The sequence below is a fragment of the Homo sapiens genome, chromosome 15, assembly GCF_000001405.40.
Source record: "Homo sapiens chromosome 15, GRCh38.p14 Primary Assembly".
In the NCBI taxonomy this organism is placed as follows: Eukaryota; Metazoa; Chordata; class Mammalia; order Primates; family Hominidae; genus Homo; species Homo sapiens.
Window position 1 is genome coordinate 39,095,943 of NC_000015.10, and position 14,595 is coordinate 39,110,537.

General features: G+C 38.1%; 1 long non-coding RNA gene across 3 annotated transcripts in view; it reads right to left on the reverse strand.

The window, feature by feature from the left end:
• LOC105370777 (uncharacterized) overlaps positions 1-14,595 on the reverse strand; it is a 556,255-nt gene that overhangs the window by 231,137 nt on the left and 310,523 nt on the right. For 2 of the 3 annotated variants that reach the window (XR_007064587.1, XR_007064586.1), the window contains exon 2: positions 13,759-13,856. The exons of the other annotated variant lie outside the window; for it this stretch is intronic. This is a non-coding gene — a long non-coding RNA (uncharacterized LOC105370777). The remainder of the gene's footprint in view (positions 1-13,758; positions 13,857-14,595) is intronic. 3 annotated transcript variants of the gene reach the window in all.

Below are 14,595 nucleotides of genomic sequence, written 5' to 3' on the forward strand. Positions count from 1 at the left end.
CTATGGCCCAGTCAGTACCATGAGGGCAAATGGTAGATGGGATTCCTGTTCTCAACATGTGACCACTGTAAAACTGCTAAGGGTTTCTTCAACTTTTAAGGACCCAGGACACTGAAAGTTCTAAAAATACTACTCTGTGGAAGTACTGGAAAAGAATTTTTTTCTTACGTTTAAAAAAAAAACAGCCAAGAAAATTAGCAAAATGTCAAATACCCAGAAAGAGGTCAATAAACTTCAAAACAATGAGAATATGCAGTGTTCATATTAGGTTTCAGAGGGATTTACCTATGTCCTAGGAAGCAGTGTAGGAAACAGACACGTACTAGACTTGAAATTCATAATTTGTCTTAGCTATCCACTTGTTCTGATCTGGGCAAGTCATTTTACTACTAAGGTTCAATTTTTTCTTCTTTAAGGTAGGGATAGAGTAATCATGAGCACTAAATGTGAAAATGTAGCCTACAACGCCCAGCAAATTTCTGGGCACTCAGCTGTTGTTCAGTTCAGATGAATCTGAAATAGAAATAGATGATATTGGGTTAGAAAGAACCTAGTGGCTACTTGGTACTCACTTCAAGTAATGACATAAGCCACGGCATAAGTCTAGTCTGTTCTTCCAAAACTATAGGCTGCCTTCACAACTCCAGCTCCTTTAGAGGAAGGGAGCAGTCATGGGTTTGATAACGAAGTTATGTTTAACAATAGAAGGGATGGGATGTAGGCAGGTTGATTCTGAAAGTCAGGGCCCTTTACTGCAACGTGCCTTCTGCTCTGTGTACCAATCATCTTACGCTTAAACACACTGAGTTCTGTTAAGAATGGTTAGCAATGAGACACTTTAGCACTCCTAAGCAGTCAGGGCTGCTGTGGTTCACCCTAGTGAGACAATGACTTTTTAGTTGCACAATTAAGCAGTAAAACATTAGTGTAGCAAGCATAGGGTTCAGCATCAAGCACAGTTGAGTCTAATGATGTAAACTTGGTAAAATTGCTTAACTTTGCTAAGTCTTTTTCATCTGTAAGATGAAAATAATAATAGAACCTACTTGTTAGGGTAATAGTGATGATTAAGGAAGATAATAAATATCAGTTTCTTGGCACTGTGCCTGACACATTGTAATCAGTGAAATAACTTTGACAATAATTAACATTATGGAGGTTAAAAGATGTGTCATTAGATGTAATATTAGGTGTGAGTGCAACTAGCAAAAATATGGACTAAATTTTTTCTAAAATTGGCTGCAATGATGTTAGTCTTTGAACAGCAACAGCTGATTGAAATTCAGTATTACTATACAATAAGTGCTGTAATTTTGTCAAACCTTCAAAATTAGCCCAAGATGAGACCAGACTCCAGATATTTCTATATTCTTGAATTTTGCTTGAACTTAAGAACTCATTCATATTTTTATGCCAGACAATGGACAGGAATCTTCTCCCAATGAATAAATCAAAGGATTTAGTAATAGGAAAGAAGTAAAGAAACAACACCAAACAACTGAAAAAAAATGTTTGTTTTAGATTCAGGGAGAACATGTACAGGTTTGTTACCCAGCTATATTACATGATACTGAGGTTTGGGATATGAATGGTCCCACCACCCAGGTATTGAGCATGGTATCCAACAGTTTTTCAACCCTTGCCTGACTCTCTCCCGCCCTCCCCTCCTAGTATCCAGTGTCTATTGTTGCCATCTTTGTGTCCATGAGTACCCAGTGTTTAACTCCCACATATAAGTGAGAATATGCAGCATTTAGTTTTCTGTTCCTGCATTAATTCACTTAGGATAATGGCCTCCAGGTGCATCCATGTTGCTGCAAAGGACATGACTGCATTATTTTAATGGCTGTATAGTATTCCATGGTGTATATGTGCCATATTTTCTTATCCAGTCCAGCACTGCTGGGAATCTAGGTTGATTCCATGTCTTTGCTATGGTGAATTAGTGCTGTGATGAACATACAAGTGCATGTGTCTTTTTGGTAGAATGATTAGTGATATTGAGCATTCTTTCATATGTTTGTTGGTGGCTTGTATATCTTCTTTTGAGAAGTGTCTGTTCATGTCTTTTGCATATTTTTAGTAAGGTTATTTGATTTTGCTTTTTCAATTGTTCAAGGTCCTTGTAGATTCTGAATATTCAATCTTTGTTGGATGCATTCTTTGCAAATATTTTCTCCCATACTGTAGGTTGTCTGTTTACTCTGTAGACAGTTTATTTTGCTATGCAGAGGCTCTTTAATTTAATTAGGTCCAAATTTGTCAATTTTTGTTTTTGTTGCGATTGCTTTTTAGGACTTACTTATAAATTCTTTCCCAAGGCCAATATCCAGAATGGTGTTTCCTAGGTTTTCTTCTAGGATTCTCATAGATGGAGGTCTTACATTTAAATATTTAATCAATCTTTATTTAATTTTTGTATATGAGGAAAAGTAGGGATCCAGTTTCATTCTTCTGCACATGGCTAGCCAGCTATCCCAGCACCATTTACTGAATAGGAAATCCTTTCCCCATTGTTTGTTTTTGTTGACTTTGTCCAAGATTAGCGGCTATAGGTGTGCAACTTTATTGCTGGGTTCTCTATTCTGTTCCATTCGTCTATGTGTCTGTTTTTTGTGTGTTTGTTTGTTTGTTTGCCAGTACCATGCTATTTTGGTTAATGTAATCTTATAGTTAGTTTGAGGTCAGGTAATGTGATGCCTCCATCATTGTTCTTTTTGCTTAGGATTGCTTTGCCTACTCAGACTCTTTACAAAACAACTGAATTGGATTATAATCATCAACAAGTAGAGGCTGTAACATTTTTATATTCTGTTATTTGATGATATCAGTAGAAGTCAAAACAGTATTAGCTGTTAGGTACAAGAATGGGTAACAGCAATCACCTACTACAAAGGTACTTGTGACAACAGTCACAAGTCACAATTAATTACTGTAATTTTGTCAAACTTTCAAAATTAGCCCAAGATGAGACCAGACTGCAGATATTTCTATATTCTTGAATTTTGCTTAAACTTGAGAATTCATTCATATTTTTATGCCAGAAAATGGACAGGAACCTTCTCCCAATGAATAAATCAAAAGATTTAGTAATAGGAAAGAAGTAAAGACACAACACAATGGGGAAAGGATTTCCTATTCAATCAATGGTGCTCGGATAGTTCATTAATTACACTAATCTTGGTGTTATACTCATGGTATTTTGAGGACTACAATGGGAAAAAATGGGTTATTCCTCAAGAGCGGCAACGTCATTGATATTATAAGAGAAAACTGTCTAGTAATGGGTCAGCAAAGTAAAGGCAAAGAATGGCTTGTTTTTATGATTACCAACATCATAAAGTGCTAGAGAGGGGTCTCACTGTAAAATTTGTTCTATAATTGTCCGGAAGCACCAGTGCACAAAGCCTTTAGTGACAAACAGAGTGAATCAGGCCAGTCTTCACAACAAAGCCATTCTAGTGAGGAGGTTTCTGGGGCTCTTTGTGAAGAACTTGAGGGCTGCTGGAGATTTAAACACAACTTGGCATTATGGCGTTCTCTAAAGTCTCTCCCATTGTGCAAAGAATCCTAAGAAATCCTGTCTTTAAAATATTTTTCCTTCAAAGTGGGGAAAAGGCAAGCCAGGAAGGATTTAGACAATTTTTATCACATCAGAGAAGCTGACAACGAAGTGGTCTGACAAATGTTGTTACCTACTCCACTTTCCCTCTCCTAACACATGTGGAAAGAACTTGTTGCTATATTTAACAAAGCTGGCCATCTTGCCTTCTGACTAGTAACCGTGGAATAGCCACAGCCTGACAGCTAATGATAACAAAATGTTCCACTGTGTTCTTTTCCTCTATCAAAAAGAATGGTCCAAGACATTGCTATGCAGTATTTCCCTGTCCTTCACTCACTCCCAAGGTGTCCATCCAGCTCTGGTGAGTCTCTCCCACCTTGAGGGCATTCCCATCAAATTTTGGCAAGGGGAGTGGTAACTGTGGTATTACTACAGCTTGGGATAACTCCCTAGATGAAGAAACCTATGTTAAGACCAAATTTTACTAAAATAATCTATCCAAGTCCCCTCATCATTAGGAAGAATAGGCAATTATTAGCTTAAGTATCATCATATATTGTCATGAGAGCTTCTTTTTTATGAAAATGCTGACAAATGGTAGGCTTCTGCTAGAATATTCATCCAGCACACATGTACTCATGAATTTCAAGCACAGCATTTCTTCCTGACGGGATGTCCTGGCTGTAGTAAACTAAGGAAAACTCAGATATTACATTTGACAGTAAAAGAATATACAGAACTCCAGTTAATTAGAGTTCTGTGAATAGTAACTCCCTGTTTAGAGAGGGAGTTACTAGGCTGTGAATAGTAACTCTCTGTTTAGAGACATTCTTTAGCTATGACTTATATAGGAATAAAATATACATGTTTTCACTCTAATTTTTTTATGCACAGAATAGTGATTTATATAGGAAAAAGAAAAGACTCAGACAGTTGGTTTTCCTCATGGGGATATGTTTCTCAGTGGTAGGAACCAAGGACAAAGTCTTGGTCCTGAAAATGCACAGCTGCTGGCAATCTTCCAGGTTAGCCAGAGACCAGAATGACTGGGAAGGTGCCATTGATAGTGAGCAAAGGAGAAATGGTCATGAAGAGAGTGATGTGCGTTTGGAATCACCACTAGGAGGAAATTAAGAAGAATGAGGGATCCTGCGACCTGGTGGAGGCACATTTCCACACTTTGTGTTTCTTCCCAGGAACCTCTCCAGTTGTTTCTTTCTTCTTTACAAATTGCATAAGACCATGGAAATCTTGTCCCACTCCCTACCTTCTGGAAAAAGAGGCAAGAGCATGTTTTAGAAGGAATTTTCTTCCTTATAGTTGGAAGGATGAAGATGGTGGGACAGTGGGGAAAAGCCATCTCTGTGTTTCTACTGGTTATCACAACAAGACCAAGAATTATCCTGGTATATATACATATATATGTATGTATATATAACATGTATATAGTTATATATACATACATATATATGTATATATAACATGTATATAGTTATATATACATATATGCATACATACATACACCATTATATATGTATATATGTGTATATATAGAAATATGTAGGTATATATGTGTCTATATACACATTTTATGTATGTGCCTATATACACATTTTATGTGTCTATATACACATTTTATATATGTGTCTATATACACATTTTATATATGTATCTATATACACATTTTATATATGTCTATACACATTTTATATATGTGTCTATATACACATTTTATATATGTGTCTATATACACATTTTATATATGTATATATATGTGTGTGTGTGTATGTGCACACACCTATACATACATTATATATGTATCTCCCACTACTTATTTCCTCTCATCATTTAAGTTACCAAAACATATTGTTTCTCTTTCAAATCCACCTTCTCTTTTCCATCTCCAATAACATTTCCTTATTTCATCTGCACATCATATCTCACTTGCATTACTAAAATACTCCCCTAACTGGATTCTCTTTTGTGTCTCACCATTATAGCTTATCTTTCACACAGCTATCAAAATTGACTTTCTAAAACAAAATCTAATCATTCCACTTCTTTACTTAAAAAGTGTTTCCCTGTTGTTCTGGGGCTTCTGATTTTTGTCTAGGATATAGCCTTGGAAATTATGCTAAAATTCAAAAATCTATAGTTAATTCTGATACATAGCTCTACTGAGAACCACTGTATTAAAATTGTCTATGTAAAGAGTTGAAGAATAGACACATTTCTCTGATAATGTGCTCAAAATTCTTATCAGGGAGAAACCAAGAAAATGGAACTATTTTTTGTCCTAGTGTATGTCATGTGATTATAAAAATGCCAAATTAAATAAATTCACCATGAATAACAGAAGCAGTGGTATTCTCTACCTTTTCTCTTTCAGTTTTGTATAAAAATGGGACCAGTGGTATGAAGGATTCCCCAGCACTGTTGAAATCCAGTCTGATGTTGTATCCAAATAGAACCGATTCTCCTGCAGCAATTACATACCCTGCCTGCCAACCAGGTCTGCCAGGTCACTAGAAATCTTACCAGAACTCCTCCTTCATTATTTGCTAAGAATATTGAGGATGGGGGAAAGAGAAAGAATAAAGGAAGGCAAAATGACCGTCTCAGGCAAGTCAGCTCTAGGAAGATTTGTTAAGTAGGAAAAACTTGTCATTATGCCCCTAACCTTTTTAAATTTTAAATTTAGAAATATTCAAATATAAACAAGAGCAAAGAAATTTAAACATGTACCCATTATCCACCTTCAAAATTATCAACATCTGCAATCTTGTTTCATCAATATTCCCCACCACACACACTCTTTTCTCCATATACACTGGATTATTTTGTAGCAAATCTAAGACATGGTTTTATTCACATATAAATATTATACTATGAACTTGTAAAAGACAAGAACTGTTAAAACAGAATAATAGACTTCTTGCATTTTATTACTTCTCTATTGTTCCTGTAACAAATTACCAAAAACTTACTAGCGTAAAGCAACAAAAATGTATCATTTTATAGTTCAGGAGGTCAGAAGTTGGAAATGAGTCTTAAGGATCAAGATCTTATCTGGTCTGGTTCCTTTTCAAGGCTTCACAGGGAAGAATAAATTCCTTGCCTCTTCCTGCAAATGGCATTCCTTGGATGCTGGCTATATCACTCAGCCTCTGCTTCTGTGGCTGTATGGTCTTTTATTCATTGACCTTGTTGGCTCCCTTTTCTAAGAACCCTTGTAATATGGGTTGGCTCTGTGTACCCACCCAAACCTCATCTTGAACTGCAATCCCCACCTGTGGGAGGAGGGGTCTGATGGGAGGTGACTGAATCATGGGAGTAGACTTCCCACTTGCTGTTCTCATGATAGTGACGGAGTTCTCATGAAATCTGGTTGTTTAAAAGTGAGCGGCACCTCCCCCTTTGCGCTCACACGCTCTCTCTCTCTCCTGCCACCATGTAAGACATGCCTTGTGATATGGTTTGGCTCTGTGTCCCCACCCAAATCTCATCTTAAATTGGAATCCCCATAATTGCCACATGTAAAGGGAGGAACCCAGTGGGAGGTGACTGGATCATGAGGATGGTTCCCCCATACTGTTCTCGTGATAGCGAGTGAGTTCTCATGAGAACTGATGGTTTTATAAGGGGTTCTTTCCCCTTTGCTCTTCACTCTTCTCTCTCCTGCCACCTTGTGAAGGTGCCTGTTTCCCCTTCCGCCATGACTGTAAGCTTACTGAGGCCTTCCCAGCCCTGTGGAACTGTGAGTCCATTAAACTTCTTTGCTTTATAAATTACCCAGTCTTGGGTATTTCTTTATAGCAGTGTGAGAACAGACTAATACACTTTGCTTCCCCTTTGACTTCCACCATGATTGTAAGTTTCCAGAGGCCTCCTTAGCCATGTGGAACTGTGAGTCAATTAAACTTCTTTTCTTTATAAATTACCCAGTCTCACGTAGTTTTATATGTCAGTGTGAAAATGGACTAATACACCTTGCAATTACATGTAGGACCTACCTGGATAAGCCAGAGTAATCCTTAACTCAATTATATCTGCCAAATTCCTTCTGCCCATATAAGGTAATACATTTATAGGTACCAAAGACTAGGACATGGGCATCCTTGAGAGGAGGAGGCATTATTCAGCCTACCACAAACTTAACATTTAACAATAGTTCCTTAGTGTCATTAAACATCTAGTCAGAGTTCAGATTCCCCGGATCATCTTGTAGTTTCTTCGGTTTGGTTTGGTTTTCCCCCAATCAAAACCATTCTCTCTGAGAAAGTTCTATTAGGTCCTGGCATCCATTATGCTGTCATATAAATTAGTTTAAGGAATCAGGTGCAGTGCTACAATACAAATTCTGACTTTAGCTTGTTCTGCCCAGAAGCCCCATTCATAGAATCCTAATGGTGCCAGTCATTTCAATCATGTCACCAAGTTGACACTGTTACTGACTAGTTTGGTCTAAATTTGCAGCTGTAACTGTTCTAGAAGGACTTATCCATTGATTTTATAGATTCGGCCTAAGTTTAGGAATTATCTTAGGTCCCAGGATAACTCATGTGTTGCATCTTCAGAGAATCAATGAGTGGGCCCACATTATGAGAAATTCAGGCCACAATGGAATACAGGAAGCAGATATTACTTAATCTCCTTTCTCCTAAAAGTGTGTGTTGTTCCTCTGACCCATTCCCATCCATTTCTCTTCCTTCCTTTACCTCCTAAAATAAAAAGGAGATTAAGTAAGGTAACAGCAGGAAACAATACTTGGTCAGTGCTGACCTCCCTGTCTCTCTAAGTTCTCATGATCAGATGGCTGAACTCAAGGAAGGGATAGAATAGATGACAACTGTGTAAGACAAAAAAAAAGAGTGTTCACAGCCATGTGGGAGCAGGATGAGACGACCAGGACTACAACTACTTCCATTCTGCTGACTTAAGAAAAGGAAAAATTAAGGATAGGAATCTGATTTGAAAAGACAAGCAGAATTTGACAGCCCTGTAATGTATTGGAAGGAATGAATTATGTGTCCTGGATTTGACTGCAAACTCCACCACTAACTAGCTGTGTGACTTGGGGCAAATCTTTAAATGTTCTAGATAGCTGATCATCTTTAAAATGCAGATGTGGGCCGGGGGCAGTGGCTCACACCTGTAATCCCAGCACTTTGGGAGGCCAAGGTGGGTGGATCACCTGAGGTGAAGAGTTTGAAACCAGCCTGGCCAACAGTGCAAAACCCCATCTCTACTAAAAAAATACAAAAATTAGTTAGGCATGGTGGCACATGCCTGTAGTCCCAGCTATTCAGGAGGCTGAGGCAGGAGACTCGCTTGAACCCAGGAGGTGGAGGTTGCAGTGAGACAAGATCGTGCCACTGCACTCCAGCCTGGGTGACAGAGCAAGACTCCATCTCAAACAAACAAACAAAATGCAGATGTGGACTAGTCTCTAAAGCTCCATTCCACTGATTTTTTTTTCCAGTGCTTGTCATTTCTAATGTGAAATACAACATAAAATGCATATTCATCCCTTGATCTCATATATTTCCTAGAAATTTTTTAACTTTATTTTTTTAACTTCTATTTTAGGCTTGGGGGTATATGTGAAGGTTTGTTGCATAACTAAACACATGCCATGAGGGTTTGTTGTGCATATTATTTCATCACCCAGGTACTACACCTAGTACCCAATAGTTATTTTTTTTCTGCTCCTCTCCCTTCTCCCACCTTCCACCCTCAAGTAGACCCCAGTGTCTATTGTTCCCTTGTTTGCATTTTTGAGTTCTTATTATTTAGCTCCCATTTATAAGTGAGAACATGCATTATTTGGCTTTCTGTTCCTGTGTCAGTTTGCTAAGGATAATGGCCTCCAGCTCCATCCATGTTCCTGCAAAAAACATGATCTCATTTTTTATGGCAGCATAGAATTCCATGGTACATATGTACCACATTTTCTTCATCCAATCTGTCACTGATGGGCATTTAGGTTGATTCCACACATTTGCTATTGTGAATAGTGCCGCAATGAACATTCGCATGCATGTATCTTTATCGTAGAGTGATTTATATCCACCTGGGATTAATGGGATTGCTGGGTTGAATGGTAATTCTGCTTTTAGCTTTTTGAGGAATTGCCATACTACAAAGGTTGAAGTAATTGACACTCCCACCAGCAGTGTACAAGTGTTCCTTTTCTCCTCAACCTTGCCAGCATCTGTTATTTTTTGACTTTTTAATAACCATTCCGACTGGTGTGAGATAGTATCTCACTGTGGTTTCGATTTGCATTTCTCTAATGATTAGTGATATTGATGTTTATTAAATAGGCTTATTGGCTGGATTGTATATCTTCTTTTGAGAAGTGTCTGTTCATGTTTTTTGCCCGCTTTTTAATGGGGTTGTTTTTCTCTTTTAAATTTGTTTAAGTTCCTTATAGATTCTGGATATTAGACCTTTGTCAGATGCATAGTTTGCAAATATTTTCTTCCATTTTATAGGTTGTCTGTTTACTCTGTTGATAGTTTCTTTTGCTGTGCAGAAGCTCTTAAGTTTAATTAGATCCCACTTGTCGACTTTTGCTTTTGTCGTGATTGCTTTTGGTGTTTTTGTCATGAAACCTTGCCTGTTCCTATGTCCAGGATGGTACTGCCTAGGTTGTCTTCCAGGGTTTTTGTAGGATTGAGTCTTACATTTAAGTCTTTAATCCACCTTGATTTTTGTGCATGGTGTAAGGAAGAGGTCTAGCTGCAATCTTTTGTGTATGGCTAGCCAGTTATCCCAACACCAAATATTGAATAGGGAGTCTTTTCCAAGTCATTCATTAAATTATATGACTTTGTATAGGACTTCAACAAGGTAGTTGACTCTAGCAAACATGCAGCCTTCCCCAAAAAGATCTACCTCAAAAGCAGGCTGGGAAACACACCGAAATATCTTAAGAGAGGTGTGTTGTTCTTCTGACCCTTCCCCACCACTTTCTTTTCTTTCCTTTACCTCAGATGCTTTAGGCACAACTAGTACATCATTGGTATAAACTAGGGCTGCAAAGACATTGTCAATACACTCATAACAAAAACACAAATTACCAGTACTTGAGAAAATGGAGTACGATGACCCAATAAGAACTCATTCACATTCTCCTATTTGGTAACTGTGAATTTGTTTAAATGAGAGAAGAATAGAAATGGAAACACTCTGTTTAAGGCAATGTCTGTCTTTTATGATCCGAGAGAAACATTAAAAATAGAAATGTTTGTGTTCCTGCCAATCATCTCAACAAAGTGGATTGGCACCATATGAACAAAGGGAAGGGTTGATTGGCATTAGTGGTACTCACTTGGGCAATGCAGGTACAATACAATAAGAACACAGGAATACAATAAGAACTCAGGAAGACAAGTAAACTTCACTGACAGCACCTGAACAATGGGTAGATAGGTTATTAGCTAGGGGGATCAGTAGGAAAGTAAAACTTAATACAATTATTTTAAAATCATTCAGGGCTGACATAAATAGCCTCTCTGCTTTTCATGGTATAGTACGTGCATTGTGCTCTACGTGAAATAAGATCAGATGGTTATTGAAAACATGCGAATCCCTCACAATGTGGTTAGACTAACATATGGTTTCAATAACTAAGTAGTATTTGTTTAACATACAGTGACTTTATTATTAAATGTGGTATGATTATTTAATTTAAATGTCAAATATTGAAACCAGCCCGGCTAAAGATTAACAGCTAATATCTACTTAATGTTAAATATTCAATGAATGCTTTTTAATGTGAAGTCACGAATTAACTATTTCAGTCCTGGAGCTTTTCTTCCAATTTACCTTATTATCTTACAATCCCTATGTGTTAAAAACCTTAGAATCACCAATCCTTAGTATTCCAATGTCCTTACAGAGCTTTCAATTTGTGCCATCTTCCTTGTCTGTATATGAGGAACAGGAGGAGGCCAAGAAGAGTGAGACAACTTATTAGAGATTTTGTTCACAGTTTTCTACTTTCCAGTTTAGCACTTTTCATGATACCATATTGCTTTTCTTATGGAAGGATTACATGAGGATCAGTGGCCTAACATTTCTGAACTAGATTTCTATATGAGGGCAGAGACTATATTTTACTGATGCCTATCCCCAAGACGAGTATGGGGCCAGTACAGATAAATTTTTCCTTCTTTATCTATATTCTCCTGTTTACCCCTCCCTGCCAATATTTCCTCATGGTGGATTCAGCAGCTCTTTGCCAACTCAATGCTCAGGATATGAATTCCATTCTGTGGCTTTAATGCTAAAGAAGAAAATTCTTACATTCAGCCCTCATGTTATCTGCTGGAAGAATGGAACTTAATCCAACTGTCTTGCAGAAGAAGAATGACGGTAAGTCTTGAAAAGTTAAAGTGAGAAGCAAAATCACAGCAGGAGGAGCCATGAGTTATCAACTAATAGCAAGTCAGGATCAAGCAGGAAAGGTTTTATGTATCTAGGCGTGACTGATTTCTGTCAACCAGGCCAAAGGTGGAGGGGCCCACTAAAACTTGAACTGAACCAGATATCTGAAGAATCTGGTAAGTGTTCCATAAATATGAGTCCCCCCCAACTTTCCTCTCTCACTCTTAACCCTCTTTGCTAAATTGGCTGTAGGAATGAGGCTGGCTCAACCATTTTTGGATTGAGTAACCAGAATGGTGACATATCAATGGTTCATTGAGTCATATGAAGAATATATGAAATAACTGGCTGGTTTTTGCCTGAAGAAAAGAATAATTGGTCAAGTATGCCTGTGCATATGTGTGTGTGTGTGTGTGTGTGTGTGTGTGTGTATGCAGGGGCAGGAGGTGGAAAGGGAGCAGAAGAGTTGACAGGAAGTGGGGCATGCTATGTTAAAACTATCTTTACATATTTTCTGTTATGTGGGAGTAGAAACAGGGTATTTCTGTGTAGCTCCAAGTAGATGAATTAGTCCCAACAATAAGAAATACAGGGAAGCTGATTTCTGCTGATGTTAAGAAACATCTTTTCAGCAACCAGAGTTGCCCAGTGGTAGAATGACGGAACCAGCCAAAGTCATGAGCTCCTGGTCTTTGAGAATGTTTGAACAAAATAGACTGAATGGCACAGGGAAGCCCTTCAGTGAAGCGAACTCCGAAGTCTTTTCTGTTTAACTCAGCATTCTGTAGAACTGCCATAAGAGACTTACATTCATTTTTCATGAAGTAATTTTTCACTGCAAATTCCTCAGATGTAATTCTCTTTGGGAAAGAGAGGTAAAGCGCAGAAGTACTTAAGAGAGACAGAAAAAAGAAAGAGAAGGAAATCCTGAGAGTGACTGGCCCAGAACAAGCAGGTGAAGAGTAGACCTTAGTTACTATAGTGGATGAACATGTCACAGTTCTTACATTGATATGAGAGAATAAGGAAGAGCTAGGACAAAGTTCATTCAATCAGGGCATAAACTGAACTGAAGGTAGGAATGTTAGTTGAGGTATGCTTGCACCTTGGAGATCTTATTTAACTTGAACCAAACTGCAACTGCCCACAGCTCTTCCCCTGATCTCTAGGCATTGGCTCGTTCCTCATGCTTCTTTCTGCTCCATGCATGAACATCTTTGTATGCATCATTTCAGGCACGAAGATTAGACTCTTCTCTGGTTTTTACCAAAAATCCACCTTATCTAACCTTTCATGAGTTTAATAACTTTACTAAAGATTTCAATTGTCTGGGCATATTACAATAGACCTGTCACCAATGGCAGGCTGCAAATGGGAGCCAGATAATAAAAGCCTCATATCTATAGTGTTTGGAGACTTGAGACTCATCTCCAGAATTCTCTCCATAGCCCTAGCATAACTGTCAGAAGTTCTGGGTAGGTGATGATTGAGTGTCTCAGTCCACCCTATCTCTAAGAATACTGACACCTAATTTCACTATGAGGACAAGATTTGTACTTTGAATATATAGAAAAGTAAGGTCTGTATGCTCAAAGTTGCATATCATATTGTAAAGAAAAGTTGAGGAAATTAGGAATATGAATAAAAATAACAGTTTATTCTTATTGTGTATTTACTATGTTGTAGGGAGTGTTCCCCGTGTTTACATGCACTCTTCTGGCTCCAAATCCAAATACCTCACCACTACATTACCTATGCAACACGAAGAACATGTTCAAGTAGTTGACAGGTTGACTTACAAAATGGGGGTCAGGCTTGATCTGATCCCTGGTGATATTTTCTGGATACATCTTGTGAGCTTCAGGTAAACAACTTTTGCCACTCCATGAAGATTTTTCTAACAGAGAAAAAAGGTGGAATAGATGACTGAAGGCCAGAGTGAGGTCTCCATCTCAGTACTAGGAGTATTGGGAAGAGAGATGATTACTTTGTCAAACCAGGCCACACTTCTACACTATTGGCAATGATCCTAAGACTACCATGGGAATCACGGAATTTTCACTTATTCCGGAAAATTTAGGAGATGTTTCTTATCAGATTGTCAGAAAATAAACTATAGGTTGGAGATTTTTAATACATCTCTTCTCCATATTTGTGGTTACATATGCCATCAGATTTAGTCAGAGGGTCCCTACCTTCTTCTGCCAGTTGCAACCTATGTGGTAACTGCTAAAGACCTTGGTTCAAATGCAAAACCTCAGACTGACAAGTCTCATTGATGAGGAGGTATGTTTCCTCTACATTGGATGTCAATGTAATTTTATTTCTAATATGCTATGATAGCAGGAGGCAGTTAAATAAAAACCAGACCTGCTGCCTCCTCATCAAGGAAGCACCTCACGCTGAGAGTGAAGGTCCCTTCATGTCTGCTACCTTTATATACATCTTCTCCTGGGCTTAGGGCTCAAGATCAAATCTCTAAATTTGGTAAAATGGAGAATTTTCTTGACTGGCTGGTATCTAACTATTCCATGTCAAGCAGTGATTTCAAGATCAAGGCATTCTGTGTCTATTGTCTGCATGTCCACCACCACCATCCCCAAGCATAGGAAAGAATTACTCATACCTCCCCTTCC